Here is a 16,350-nt window from a genome sequence, read left to right on the forward strand (position 1 = left end):
TTCTGATACACTGTCAAATATTAAGAATGAATAGCTGTAAGTTCCTTATTTGACAAAAGCCAAGATTCTCATCTTTATTTTCCACTGAGAAATATCATGCTAGAGACAATCTTTGCAAACTTTGCTTCTAAGATGCTAAGTCCTGCGGCATGTAATCTTTTCTTTTTTGTGAGTGAGTTGGCCTAATGCCTAGAAGTTTCATTACATTTCCAGAAAGTCTTCTCTGGTAATTTCATGAAGCATATTACCTGTTTTATCTTGAAATGTCTTTACCTTCTAGGAGGTTTACTCATGAAAGCAATGCTGAAAAATACAATTTGGTTGTTTAAGTGGGAGACTTAGGTTATTAAATGTTTATTTCCTTGGGTAAGAAAATATTTTCCTCTCTTTAAGGGAGTGTGGTTGTTATTATGAAAAGTTTTAGAAGTTAAAATTGCTGATGTACCTGAGGAAAGCCAAATGTCACCTGTATATTTTTGATCCTCATTTCTTTGGCTCATAGTCCATTCTCTGTATTTTCTCCAAATTTTCATCAGTCTTAGAAAAATATAAACTTCATAATTCTGGAGTCATGACAACTTGTACTTATTTTAAATGCAATTTGTGATATTACTTATTATTCTCTTTAAAGTATTTTAAACTTCACTATTTTTATCATTTGTAGATGTAGATATTAAATTTTGTGAATGAGTTACTAATTCACATGGTTTATCTATAACTATCTATAAAAGTATACAGTAAAAATTTCCTTTCTCTACTCCATTTTTCTTCTATTCAGTTTTTATTCTCTCATCCCTCAATTGGTGTTCAATGTTACTGGGCTCTTGTGTATCTTTAGCTATTTTTCGTACACTTAAATTCAAATATATATTCCCTAAATTACCCAATTTCTACAGACATTAACATCCTCACATTCATATCTGCACATTGCTCTTTCCACCTAACAATAAATCTTAGTTATCTTTCTATGTCATTTGACAAAAAAACCTCTGTAATAATTTGTTAGCTTAATATTTTATTCAATTCTCCAATCCTACTAATGGACACTTGGATTGATTCTAATCTTTTGCTGTTAGAAATAATGTTTCAATAAATACTCTTGTAATATGTCATTTTGCAAGGATATGAGTAAAGTTCCTAGAAGTATAATTGATGGATCAAAGAAAAAACATCTGTAATATTAATTTCTGTAAACAACTTGCCCTCCATGTGGGTTGTATCAGCAATATATTAATGTTTTTTCTTCACAGTTTTCCCAACATAGTGAGTTACCAAAATTTGTTATTTTCTTAACAATCTGACAAACGAAAATAGTGTCTCCAGCTTATGCTTCTAGAAAGAATATGATCGTTTACTCTAGGCCAATGTTCACACTGCAACAATTAGAAAAATGCGATTAATTATACTGAGTTTTTTGAGCTAAGATTATAGGGGCTTTTCCATTTTTATTAGTTCTTGGTTATTATAAAACTACTATAAACATTCTTATACATGTATTTTGGTGAACATATGTCTTCCTTTCTCCTGGATATAAACCAAGAATGATATTACTGGGTTATACTGTTGGTATGTGTTTAACTTTCTTAGAAATTGCCAAATGGTATTTACAAAATGGGTGTATCATTTTATATCCCTACCAAGAATGTGTAAGAGTAAAATTAGCTCTACATTGAGGGGTTGATATCTGAGTTCAAACTTAAGTAATACAGCCAGTCACTGAAAGCCCTGAGGATAAAAGAGCTCCCAGTAGAGCAACACTAAGCTCAAAGAACCTGTGGCATTTCTACGGGGATATTCCCTGCAACGTTAAATTTAATGTATTCTAAAGTTTCACATCATATGCCCCATTGGTGGACTGTAAATTCAATTCAAGTTTTACCAAGAGATAATTTTTGATGGAATATAAGGGACTAGCTTTTTTTTTCTACAATAAACACTTAAAAATGTTTTCCATGTTGTAAATGCAGCTTAACCAGTAACCATAATGATAGACATTTAAATTACTTCTACTATTTTGTTTTAATACATAATGCTGTGAAATTAACTTGTAATATGATCTCAAAAGTACATGAAGGTATAAATTGTATAAATTCCAGAAGTGTAATCTCTGAGTTAAAAAAAGAAAACACTTGTAATTTGATAGATATTTTAAAAAGTGAACTTGTCAATGTGCTCTCCAAATTATATTATCAAGATCTGCTGAATAAGCTAAAATATGGTGAGACTTAGCATGCTGATAGAAGAGGCCACACATTTTTGACCATTATTCAAAACCCAACTTCTTAGCATTTCCTAATATTTCAAAAGTATATTTGGAAATCTCATAGGAGTCTTTATTTAAATCATCAGCAACTCCTTATCTTATTTCATCTTTGGCAGTTTCTTAGATAATTATGACAATATTAATGTAAAAATACAAATGATAATGTATGATATATTTCAATGTAGCAAGAAGAGAGGATTTTGGATGTTATCACTACAAATAAATAATAAGTGTTTGAGGTTATGAATATGCTAATTAACCTGATTTGATCATTACACAATATATGCATGTATGAAAACTTCACATTGTACCCTTTAAATATATGCAATTATTACGTGTCAATTAAAAACAAAATAAAACTTTTAAAGGTACCAAAACTTCTAGTCCTTTGCCAAAAATTGAGACTCCAAAGGCTGAATTCTAAGGAGTATATTAGCATCAGCTTATTCAATATTTACTTTAAACATAAAATTTTCTCTTTGGTTTATGAGTTCTGTAAAAAAGAGTCTGTCCTTGGAATTTTTATCATACAGATCATCTAATTCTATAACTAGAATTATCAAAACACTTTTACAAAAATCTACTAATATCTGGTTATATAATATTCATAATAGGCAACATTATTGAGCGTTGACAATTATGTGCCAGATATATACTAGATAATAAATGTTTTACATGTATTTTATGCATATATAGTACATACATTTTTTACATATAATTCTAGCCACAGTCATATGAGGCAGTTGCTATTTCTATGCCTTAAATATTAAAACAATGAGGCTCACTCAGAAAAAAAGTAATCTAGAAATGTTGTATAATTTAAGTAACTAAAGCAAAATTCAAGTTCACATATTCCCAAAAAATGTAATAAGCAGAATACAACATTGTTGATTCTAAAACCAAAGTGATAGGATTTGGGGAAGAGTAGGAATTTCCAAAATGTTACACAAATAATTCACTATAAAATTTTGGTGAGATATACAACCATCAAAAGATATAACTAAATTCTTCTTTGCATACCACATCCAAGCAAGAATGCCAAGATCAGTGCAAATACGTAGCAAGTGGGCTTGAAATTGGCTCTTTAGTTAAACTTGGACCCATCTTCTATGGCAAACATGGTACCAATTCAAATCCTGTGAATGTAGATGGTTCTGAGAAAAAATACACATTTTCTTTCCCCCTTCTAGGATGATGGTAGAGGCACATTTTCCAGATGGAGTAGATGTAATATGGCAGAGCATCTATGAACTTAAGTCTCTGAGTGACTGTGGTTCAGCATCCTTTGCCTGTATCCATTGAACAGGTAACATGAATGAGAAATAAAGCTTAGCTGTGCTAAACCCCTGGGCTTTTGAGTTAGTTTATTACCTTAGAATAACGTAGCCTAACCTGATCCATGTTCTACGATGTAAGGTTTCTGTGAAAATTAAATGAGTTCATGCAATGCCTGCCACATAGTCTATACCCAATAACATTAGATATTATTATCAGAAATCACACTTTCTTAAATTAGTCTGCATGCTTTATAAAAACTTTTGGGGGGAAGTACTGAACATTATATCTAGGACCAAGAAGAGAGTTATAAAATTTACTAGATCTCCTTTTAGCATAGTGCCCTTATAAAATGCAGAAAAATAATCAAATAAATAATGATTTCACATCACCAAAAATTACAACCCCTCCACCCCTCCCCCCCCAAAAAAAAACTCTAGCTTTGGAAATTCAGGCAAAATTAATCAAAGAGTAAGGAATTTCTTTAGCTAAAAAATTCATCTTATGCAAAAATGCCTTCAGTTATTTAGTCATTCATTCATTTACTTATTGTTCATGATTCAGTAAATTGACACACATGTGTTGCTACTATTGGGTATTTTCACTTTGGTTTAATGATGCTGGATATCTCAAGTGGATGAAAGATATGGTGAGGCACTTGCACAAGCCAAAGTGAATGCAAATGGCCAGAAAATGAGGGTTGGGTGTTCTGATGACAGCATCTAAGAAAGTAATGGAGGCATGGCAGAAATATGTGTAACTATGACCTATAAGACCAGCACTAAGCACTAAGTAAAGAGACTCCAAGGAAGAAGGTGCCCATCTCGGAGATGCCTATGGATATGGGGAACCATATTGACTGTAGCCAAAAGTCAGGAGAAGCTGAGTCAGAGAAAGGAATTGGATAGGAGAAGTATTCACAGTAATGAGTAGGAGGAGCATGTGTGAAAATGATGAAAAGGAGCACTGTTGGTGTCAGTACCCCTCACAAGGCTGGTACATCGATGAGTGTGTAAGGTTCATCAAAAGTGCTTGTATTAGTCTGTTTTCATGCTGCTAATAAAGAGATACCTGAGACTGGGTAATTTATGAAGGAAAGAGGTTTAATTTACTCACAGTTCCACATGGCTAGGGAGGCCTCACAATTATGGTGGAAGGCAAATAAGGAACAAAGTCACATCTTATATGGCGGCAGGCAAGACAGCATGTACAGGGAAACTCCCCTTTATAAAACCATCAGATCTTGTGAGACTTATTCAGCACCACGAGAACAGTATGGGGAAAACTGCCCCCATGATTCAATTATCTCCACCTGTCCTCACCCTTGACACATGGGGATTACTGTAATTCAAGGTGAGATTTGGGTGGGGATGCAGCCAAACCATATCAGTGCTTCTAACAGAAGCTGACGTGTGGCAGACAATGCATGCATGAGAAATAGCTTATGGAAATTAGCAGCTCATCCCACAGGGATGCTGGATAAAATGCAATGTGTTATTTACGTGAGAAAATTCTTCATGACATACATAAGGTGTTTTACATGTACTTATTTACATGTTTAAATTATTTTTAAAAGTAACTTCAGCTTTTATTTTAGATTCGGGGGTACATGTGCGGGTTTGTTACATGGGTATATTGCATGATACTAAGGTTTAGGCATCATGTTTGTCCTAGGTTTGCTTCTGAGATTCTTACAGTTTGAAGTCTTAGATTTAAATCTGTAATTCATCTTGAGTTAATTTTTGTATACAGTGAAGGGTAGGGGTCCAGTTTTATTCTTCTGCATTTGGCTAGCCAGCTATCTTAGCACCATTTATTCAATATGGAGTCTTCTCCCCATTGCTTATTTTTGTTAACTTTGTTGAAGATCAGATAGCTGTAGGTGTGTGGCTTTATTTCTGGGTTTTTATTCTGTTCCATTGCTCCATGTATGTGTTTTTGTACCAGTGTCATGCTGTTTTGGTTCCAGTAGCCTTATAGTATAGTTTGTTGGGTAATATGATGCCTTTAGCTTTGATCTTTTTGCTTAAGACTGCTTTGGCTATTTAGGCTCTTTGGTTGGTTCTACATGAATTTGAGATTTTTTTTAAATCTGTGAAAAATTACTTCAATAGTTTTATAGGGATAGCATTGAATCTATCAACTGCTTTAGGCAGTTTGGTCATTTTAATAATATTTATTATTCCAATTTATGAACATGGAATTTTTCCCATTTGTTTGTGTCATACATGATTTATTAGAGTAGTATTTTATAATTCTACTTGTAGATATCTTTCACCTCTTTGGTTAGATATATTTCTAGGTATTTTATTTTTTGTGGCTATTGTAAATGAGATTGAATTCTTGATGTGGTTCTCAGCTTGAACATTATTGGTGTATAGATATGCTTCTGATTTTTGTACATTTGTTTGCATCCTGAAACTTTACTAAAGTTGTTTATTAGTTCAAGGATCATTTTGTAGTCTTCAGGGTTTTTTAGGCATATCATCCCTGAAGAGAGAGTTTGAATTCTTCTTTTCTTATTTGGATGCTTGTTATTTTTTCTCTTGCCTGATTGCTTTGGCTAGGATTTCCAGTACTATTTTGTATAGGAGTGGTGAGAGTAGGCATCCTTATCTTGTTTCAGTTCTCCAAGGGAATGGTTCAAGCTTTTTCCCATTCAGTATGATATTGGCTGTGGGTTTGTCATAAATGACTCTTATTTAGTTTGAACTATGTGCCTTTGATGCCTATTTTATTGAAGGTTTTTATCACGAAGGGATCTTGGATTTTATTGAATAATGTTTTCCATCTATTGAGATGATCACATGATTTTTGTTTTTAATTCAGTTTATGTGTTGAATCACATTTATTGATTTGATTTGTGTATGTTGAACTCCCTGCCCCCCCCCCCCCCCCACCTGCCACCATACATCCTAGAAATAAAGCCTATTTGGTCATGGTGAGTTAACTTTTTGATGTACTGCTGGATTTGGTTTGCTGGTATTTCATTAAGAATTTTTGTGTCTATGTTCATCAGGATGTAGAGACACAACATACCAAAATCGCTGGGATGCAGCCAAACCAGTGTTAAGAGGAAAGTTTAAAGTGTGAAATAGCTACCACAAAAAGTTAAAATGATCACAAATCAATAATCTAACATTACACCTAGCAGAACTGGAAAAATAAGAGCAAACTAACCCCAAAGTTAGCAGAAGAAAGTAAATAACTAAAATCAGAGCAGAACTGAACAAAATTGAGATCCAAAAATCTATACAAAGAATCAGCAAAACCAAAAGTGTTTCTTTGAAAGGATTATCAGCATTGGTAGACCACTAGTAAGATTAACAAAGAAAAAAAGAGAGAAGATCCAAATAAGCATAACCAGAAATAAGAAAGATGACATTACAAGTGATCCCACAGAAGTGCATAAGATTCTCTGAGACTATTATGAACACTTCTATGCACACAAACTACAAAATATAGGGAAAATGGATAAATTCCTGTAAACACACTACCTCCCAAGATTGAATCAGGAAGAAACTGAAACCCAAAACAGACCAATATCTAGTTCTTAAATTGAATCAGTAATAAAAATCTTACCAACCAAAAGAAGCCCAGGACTGGATGGATCACAGCTGAATTCTACCAGACATGTTCAAAGAAGAATTAGTACCAATTCTACTGAAACTATTTCAAAAAAATTCAGAAGGGGAGACTCATTTATAAATCATTCTAAGAATCCAGCATCACCCTGATACCAAAACCTGGCAAAGACACAATTGAAATAAAAAGGAAACTAAAGGTGAGTAATATATTTTTAAGCAATTTGTTCTGTGTTAGGGATAGTTTCGGGTTTTGGAAATTTAATGATTCATCAAATAAACTACTTCTCTAACCTGTGGTAGCTGGGAATCTGGTAGAAAATAAACATAATATAGTAGCAAAAACAGCATTCATATCATGTTATGTTAGGTGGTAATACATTCCATGAGAAGGAAGAAAGCCTAGCCTGGTATTGGTTTATCCAATACCAATAAATGATAAGGTATAGGAGGTATTTTTTAAAAGGGAGATTGTTTAAGAGTGAATGCATTTTATACAAATGCATCTTACAAAAGCAAAATATTTTTAAGATCAGATGTCTCATGATGAAGGGGGACATTTTGTAGAGGAGAGAATCCTGAGGCAGGAAGACCAATTAGTTTTGAGATGAGGAGAAATGTTCTTTAGTGGAAAAAGTGAGAAAAACAATAATCCTAGGGAGAACACATGCAGAATCAAGAAGTCTCCTTCTGTTGTTTGAATGATCCAAGTATAGTCTACTTCAAACTTTGCTTTGTAACTTATCTTCCGTTATTGTCTCTAAATATGATTTTCATCTTCGAATGCTATATAAATAGCTGTGTTGACTTTGGGAGAGGAGAAATTTTGTCTTACATTTCTTTGCACTTAAACTTCTGGGCACCAGGATATTCATGACAGTGAGAGGGTGGAAAATGCAAACATACGATAAGGTGATTTAATTAACTATGTAATGGCACACTCATGAAGACATATATATTATTCAATATTTAATACTGTGCTTTAACAAAATATTTAATAATGGGAGAAATGCTGAAACCCTGAGATTAAGTGAAAATATAAGATTAACTTTTATAGAGGGTATTCTGGTTTTGCCAATAATTGTCTGTGAGTTAATGTGTCCATTTGTTTGTGGTATAAAACTGAAAAAATATGGAGCTGGCATTTTAACAGTTGTCTTCTTCATGTGGTGAGTTTAGAGACAATTTTATTGCCCATTTATTTATTTGTTTTATAAAATTATTAACAAACACATAGTACCTTCATAATCATATATTTAAAACATTATTAAAACTACTAATACACAGGTTAATAAGTGGACAATGTATATGGACAAAGACTGGAGAGACACAAATACAAATGATTCATAGACATATAAAAATACTTCAGCCTCACTGGCAATCAAATAATTGTGAATTAAATAACAATAAAAATGTAATATTTATTGTCAAAGTGGCATTTTGAAGAAAATCAACAGACACACTGAAGATGTGTATTGAAATAGTCCTATCCATGACTTGTGAGAATGTAAAATAATCTGTTACAAACCAATTTGTCAGTATGCATTAATACCTTCACTTATGCTGTTTTTTTTTAAGTCTGTAAGGATCCTTTTTGTCATCTATTTTGAGGATTTAGTTTGGAATTCAAAGATGTACCTAAGTTATATTCACCAGAATATTTTTCATACTAACTGATGGTAAACAACCTATACACTTCATATCTCAGGAATGCTTCAGAAAATTATATTTTAAATATATGACAAATAGTATGCATATTTTTCTAATGTAGAATAAAGACAAAATGACCTTTAACAAAAGAAATGAGACACTATTTATATTATTCCAATTTTGTATCTTTAGTTAGATAGAAACACATCAACACTCTGAAAGTAGTTATCTCTGAATGATTAAATTATTGGAAATATTACTAAGCTTATGCAATGCTTGTTTGCTTGTTTTTGGATTTCTAAAATACTATGTGTAAAATAAGGTTGTGAAACCAAGATCAAGGGTGTCAGTTGACTTGCACTGAAAGCCTACAGCTCTTTTACTCCAAGGCTTGAGTTTTCTCCCACAGCACATCCCAAGACAAGGTGGGTCGCCTACATGAAGCCGTGTTGTTTACAGGGATATTTTGGCCCAACACGAAATGTCTAAAAATGAAACTTCCTTTTTTAAAGAAAGATGGCAAATGTCTTCACTGCCCAGAGTCTCATCTAATTCTTGAGAGTAACCCATTGCTATCTCCCATTACTGAGAATACCCTGGTGAAGTGCGTAAAGTTTAGGAGATAGTAAAAGGTTGGAGAGAATAATATGGCTGTGATTAGGTTAAAATAGAAAAGTGGGAAGCAGATCCCAGACCACCAGGTGTATGCCCCAAACCACAGAATACTGAAATTCTCAAAGTGAAATGTATGTCATTATCTAAGAATTCACTTTAACTTCTCAGGACAATAATATATTGACTTGAGAGTTTTACTTAAGGTTACAATATCATAATTTTTTGCACTAAATTGGTGCATAGATTTGGCTGTTTAATAAAGAAAACTTCTGTTTTCAATTTGAAAATCCTCAAAATGGATGCTAATGATCTTCTGAACTATCTGATTGGTCCAGCCAAACCCAAACGGGCATTTGAGGTCAAAATATGATATTTGATTTTTTTGTTCCAAACTATACATGTAATTTTTAATGCATGCTAAGGATCATTTCTTATGATGTATCTTAGAAATATACATCATATTTAATATTTAAAAGTTCTTTATAATAATAGTTTTGAGAGATAAGATGAATAATTGCTTAGATATTAATCCACCTCTAACAAAGGTCTTTCCCCTACTTTTTAATAAAAAATAGTGTATTAAAAATCCTTATACCTTTGTTTTATAGAGACATATAAATAATACAATTTTTAAAGCATTATTTGCATATAGCAGGATTCCAGTTGTGTCAAAAATTATATGGGTATGTTTATGGTATAAACCTGGAAAAATATAAAACAATGTAGCATTAATTGTTACTTCTTTGTGGTATGTTGATGGATAAATTATTACTGTCTATTTTGTATTTTCTAAAATTATTAAGTTCGTATTTTATGTTAAAAACTATGTTGTTTTATAAAAGCATATAAAATATAGGATTTTAATACAATATATATTTTTATTAAAACAGACAAAATTTTATATTGTTTATAAACATATAAACCGTATAGAACTTAATAAAACTAAAATGTTTTATAATGGATTAAGTGATGAAGGGAGCAGTAAGGTTTAGAAATACCCATGGTGCGTATTTCTTCATTGTAAACAAGGGCAAGTTTGCCCTCTAGCCTTGCCTCTTTAGTTTCTCTGCATTCTCTTTTACAAATGGCAATATCAAGAAGCTCAGCATCTGCATCTTCTTTGTCTCCAGATAATATTCTGGAAAACTGTAAAACTGATTCTCTGTTGAAGTCCAAGAAGGGTACACTTATATGGATGTGACTAAGAAGCAGAAAAAAAATGAAGATTGTCACCAGGTAAACGGGAGCGCCATCTGGATGGGACTAGAGTTTCTCTGTGGACCCAAGTCAGCTCAGTCACCCCTTCATCACGGATCCAGACCTGACGAATTTCTAATACAAATGTCCACCTGGAAGCATCACTCTGCCTAACCCAGCTGTGCTTTCATTCTGAGGTTTTAATTCTCTTGTATCTCAGTGTCCAATGGCCCTTCTATCTGATGTCAACTTCTGAATTTCCTGACTTATGATCACCATCAAGAGAACTGCAACAATGGCAGAAATGATTTCTGAAAACCTGCAGCACAAGATGCATTCAAATCTTTCCTGGGTCCCTTGCTGTTCATCACTTCTCTATTTTTTTCCCTCCAAACATTTATTTCCAAGCACTTTTCCCTAATCATTCTTAAATCTTAGAATTTAAACTCTCAAGTATATTTACATTTAAATAGAGTGCTGGGGCCTTTTGGTATTTGAAAAAGCTTTTGAGATTTGTAATGAACTTCTAAAAGGTTCTGAAACTTTGCCAAGTGTTGGTCTATTCTGAACAATGGGAATCCTGGATTCAATTCAGAACTACCCAGTCTTTAATCCAAAATCAAAAGGAGCTTTCAAAAATCTGCAATTGTTCCCTGACTCCTGAGCTTCACAGTCAAGACCTTCGCTGATCGGCCCCCCACCTACCTTGTCAAGTCCATCTCTCAACCCACAAGAGCGACACTGGCCTGCCTCTTCCTCTCCTGGTTTCTCCCTAATTGCCATTTTCTTTCTCTTGTCTCTTACTTTCCCCTTGGCCTGAAACACCCTCCCTCCACTGTACCAACTGCCTTTTTGAAATTGATAGGCTAAGCTCAATATCACCTCCATTATTACGCTAATTTTTATGGCCTTCAGATAATTTAGGGAGAAGTACATAAATTAGTCCCCAGAAATGTCTGAGTTGATGTTTTGCATAAGTTCTCAGAAGCCATATCACTAAGGCACACTATTACAGCTTTATTTTCTGTAAAATGAAGCTTAACAATTTGTTTGGTATGATTTCTGTATAAGTCAAGTCATGTTTAGGAAGTTTTTGGCGTATAATCAGTGCCCCTTACTAGCTTTGGAAATTTGGAAAACTCACTGTCTCTGCTTCAGAATTCTCAGCCAGGTCACAGGTTTAATAATAAGACATTCCTGAAAGGGTTGTGGTGAGGATTAAATGAGGATATCTATATGAAAATCTTAGAACAATACCTTGCCAATATCAACATCTCATTAAACCAATTAATTGTTTTTATCAAAAAATGTTTTCTTCTCTGCTCCATGTTTATCTGAGTTAGCTTAGCTGAAATAGAAACACCTGTGCATGTTCTTTGCATTCCTCAAGCACTGTATACTACTTGATGACAACTACTATATTTTTGCAAAGCCAAAAACTAGGCATGGTGCAGTATACATTTTTAATATACTATATATGCAATGCAATCAAATTACATCCAGAAAAAAAAGCTCTGCCCTATTGTAAATGTCCTCATATTTTTATCCCAACAACCACAAAGAATGTGAACAACAAAGCAAGTTTTACTTTTCAATGAAAATTATTATCACTCACCCTTCATTCCATTACTTCTTTTGGGAAATGAAAATAAGCAACAGCATTCCTCCAAAATGACGTGTTTGTCCCTTTAACTTTGGACTGCTTCATTTTTCTTTGGGAAGCAGATCACCATAGGGTGCATGTTATAGACAGATGACATTTCTTTTTCTAATTTAGATGAAAGAACTCTGAAATACTGGTATTTGGTCGAGCATACTGGGCTGTTCCAGACTAAGACTTTTGATCTTGAATGCAGACCTGCCAGTACTCTATATTTCAGATTGATGGATGGTATTACTGGCATCATATTTTCATTATTTTTTGTTCTCCTGTTCCCTGTGCCAAACCACCACTAAATCATAGACACTAAATGTTGAATAAAGTAAAATATCTATGAATTAGAAATGAATCCTTTTATTATTTTATTCACTTATCTCATCCCATGCTACATTTTCCATCATTCATCTGATTTTCCTAATTTCTTCGTATATTCTTCTCTTTGACCTTTCCTTAGATTCTTTACATTTTAAAGGAGGCAGCATGGGGAGACAAAAAGGCTTTGAGCTCGGAGTCAAGAAACCTGGCCCTCATCTTAAATTTGCTTTCAACTTGCTTTATAAGCTTGGGAACCTGTTTTCTCACCTGTTAAGAAGCAAAATGCACCACACAATCTCCAAATCACTTGTAATCCTATCTCTAATTTCTAATTTTTATCTAGAGCTTTCCCCCACTATCTTAAGAAATAGATCCTTCACTCAACTTTTGTTTATTTCCATTTAACTAATACTTTAATGTCTCTTTCTGTCATATTTTCTACCTATGATTGCTTTGAAGTTTAATGAAATCATCTGCATTGAATATCTTGTAATCAACCTTCTTTGTCAATCCTTTATTCTGCCCTCTCCCTTTCCTCTATACCACCTTGTTTCTATCCTTCTCTCTATTCCAAAGTCCTATTTACTCTTTATTGTTTTGCAACCTCAAATTTAATACATCAGTAAATTGTGTCATAAGTTCATTCAGCAAATACATAGCTACAGTGGGCCAGGCACTAGGATGTTTTGGGATTTCAAAGGGCCCAATAAATAAAATTCCCATTCTTTGCCTGAGTTTGAAACTAGTTGAGAAACACATATAACAAAAAAAAAAAAAATTGAGAGGTGAAGATCAAAATATCCTGATAAAACTGTTGGAAGATGCTGCTTTTAGTTTGTTAGCCAAGTCCCCAAAGGGAGAGAATAACATGTTCCCATCCTTCTCCAAACTCATTGATGAGCTGAGTTCCTTCGCTGCCTCTGAGAGAGAGTAAGTGTAGTAACTGAGTCCAGGGAAGGTGGGCAAGAGAGAGACCAGGGTGTTACTGATGCAGGCCCTGCCCTAGAGAAACATGAGAATTGGGAGATAGTGGTGACCACTAAGATGAGGGACTGGCAATATGTCAGTAAGTAAGACAGCCATTAGCATCACTCTTGTGGAGTTTATAGTTTAGAGAAGACAGAGCTTGAAAAGTAATTAGAAGAGAGGTAAATATGTAATGCAGAGTAGAGCATGCCACAGGAATACAAAGCAGAAAGGCTTACTGCCTCTGGGGAGCCAAATAAAGCTTCTCCTGGAAAGTGTGCATGAGCTGAGGCCTAGAGATGAGAAGAAACAAGACGAAGCGCTGGCTGATGAGATGAGAAGAGTGTCTAGGGTAATGGAAAAAGCACAAGAGAGTTTGTGGCATGTCTGGGGAGATGAAGTGTGGCCAGAGGCTGCGTGGTGAAAGAGCGATTGGAATTAGATGAGGAGGAAGGGCAGAGAAGAGCCCAAATCATGCAAATTAGAACACAGACTATACCCTAATGTCACCGAGGGAACTTTGAGAGATTTTAAGCTACTGCAAGATATTTTAGTAAAAATGTCAGGTCAACAACTGGGTGTGGACATCCAAAGAGAAGATTGTGTAGGGTATGCGAACATGAAAATCATTGGCAAATAGATTATTTATGAATCTTGAGGCTGAGGTGGGCAAATCTCTTGAGGTCAGGAGTTGAAGACCACCAGCCTGCCCAACATGGTGAAACCTTGTCTCTAATAAAAATACAAAAATTAACCAGGTGTAGTGGCATACGCTTGTCATCCCAGATACTCAGGAGGCTGAGGCAGGAGAATTGCTTGAATTCGGGAAGTGGAGGTTGCAGTGAGATGAGATTGCACCACTGCATTCCAACCTGGGCAACAGAGACTCTGTCTCAAAAAGAAAAAAAAAGGGTTATTTATGAACCTTAAGAAATGAATATACTTATCCACTGAGCAAGCACTATGAGGCCATAGGAGAGTTTATGAGAGATTCCAAGGATCCCTAATATTTAATGGCTGAGTAGAGGAAGCTAGAGAACTAGGACCGGAAGAAGAACTGAGTGTTCGGAGATGGAGAAATCTCTCATCATCCTTGCAGAAGACAAATTTGATATCCTCTGTCCTTGTATGCTGTTTTCTTACCATAGTCTGCTGAAAGGTCAAGCAGAAGGAGGAATGAAAAGAGGACATTGGATTTAGTGTATTAAATAATTCAGGCAACACTAGCAGGAGCAATTTCAGTGGAGTGGTGGATGTGAAAGAGCCAAAGTTGGACTGGGTTAAAAAGAGTTTAGGGAGGCTGGGCACGGTGGCTCACGCCTGTAATCCCAGCACTTTGGGAGGCCAAGGTGGGCAGATCACGAGGTCAGGAGTTAGAGAGCAGCCTGGCCAATATGGTGAAACCCTATCTCTACTGAAAACACAAAAAATTAGCTGGGTGTGGTGGCACATGCCTGTAGTCACAACTACTCGGGAGGCTGAGGTAGGAGAATTGCTTGAACCCAGAAGGCAGAGATTGCAGTGAGCCAAAACTGTGTCACTGTACTTCAGCCTGGTGACAGAGCAAGACTCCATCTCAAAAAAAAAAAAAAAAAAAAAAAGAGAAGAAAAAGAAAAAGAAAAAAGAAAAAGAAAAAATTTATGGAATAAAATTTTCACCTAAAATATTTTAAGATTAATTATAAATAATAATTAAAATGAAACGTAGAATAAGGGGAATACTTACTGTGTCTTTCTTGTCCTCATTATGGACAAAAAGGGAGAAAGATGCATGAATCTAGATTAAGGAGAGCTTGTAAATTAATGATGCAAATTTCAAATATTTTCAGTGTTGTAGTTCTTCATTTTTTGTAAATTGGGAGGAAGTGATATCCACCAAGAGTGAGAAGAGAAGGGAAAGGGTCTGACTTTACAAATATTGAAAAAACAGGGTGACTAAAAATAAATCGTAAGGTATTTTTGGCAGGGTTTAAATTAAAACTGGCATTAGGATCTATAAATGTACAGTTGTACAAGTCATCAGATTAGGAAACTCAGTAGATTACATGAAGGTGAAGAACTGGTGGCCAGGCAATGGCTCACACCTGTAAGCACAGCACTTTGGGAGCCCGAGGCAGGCAGATCACTCAATGAGGCAGATCACTTGAGGCTAGAGTTTGAGACCAGCCTGGATAACATGGCAAAACTCCATCTCTACTAAAAATACCAAACGTTGGCCAAGTGTGGTGGCAGGCACCCATAATCCCAGCTACTCAGGAGGCTAAGGCAGGGGGATTGCTTGAGCCTGGGAGGTGGACATTGCAGTGAGCCGAGATTGCACCACTGCACTTCAGCCTGGGTGACAGAAGAGACTCTGTCTAAAAAAAAAAAAAAAAAAAAGGAAGGAAAGAAAGAAAGAATTGGAATTTATCCATCTCAAATTTTTTCAACGGGATGCTTAATGAATGTACAAAAGGGGTAAACCAATATAAGGTTTGGTGCAGACATGGGTATAAAAAGATAGGCTTTAAAATACAACCTAGAAGGAGAGCATAATAGATGCAGTAATTTCCTGTGGGTTTCAAGGAACTAGATATTCTGATGAGGCAGAAAATTAAATGCAGACTGGTGGGCGAACTGTAACATTAGTGGATTATGGCAGAGAATGTGGGATCTACATCAGCACCTTCACAGGAAGAGCTGCTTCCAAGTACGACATCTTGAAAAATGGTCCTGGGATTGACATCTGAGGCAGGGAATACAAGAGAAAGTGAGTGAAAGATGTATAAAAGGCCGGGTGCGGTGGTTCACGCCTGTAATACCAGCATTTTGAGAGGCCAAGGCGG

This window comes from Homo sapiens, chromosome 4 (genome assembly GCF_000001405.40).
Source record: "Homo sapiens chromosome 4, GRCh38.p14 Primary Assembly".
Lineage (NCBI taxonomy): Eukaryota > Metazoa > Chordata > Mammalia > Primates > Hominidae > Homo > Homo sapiens.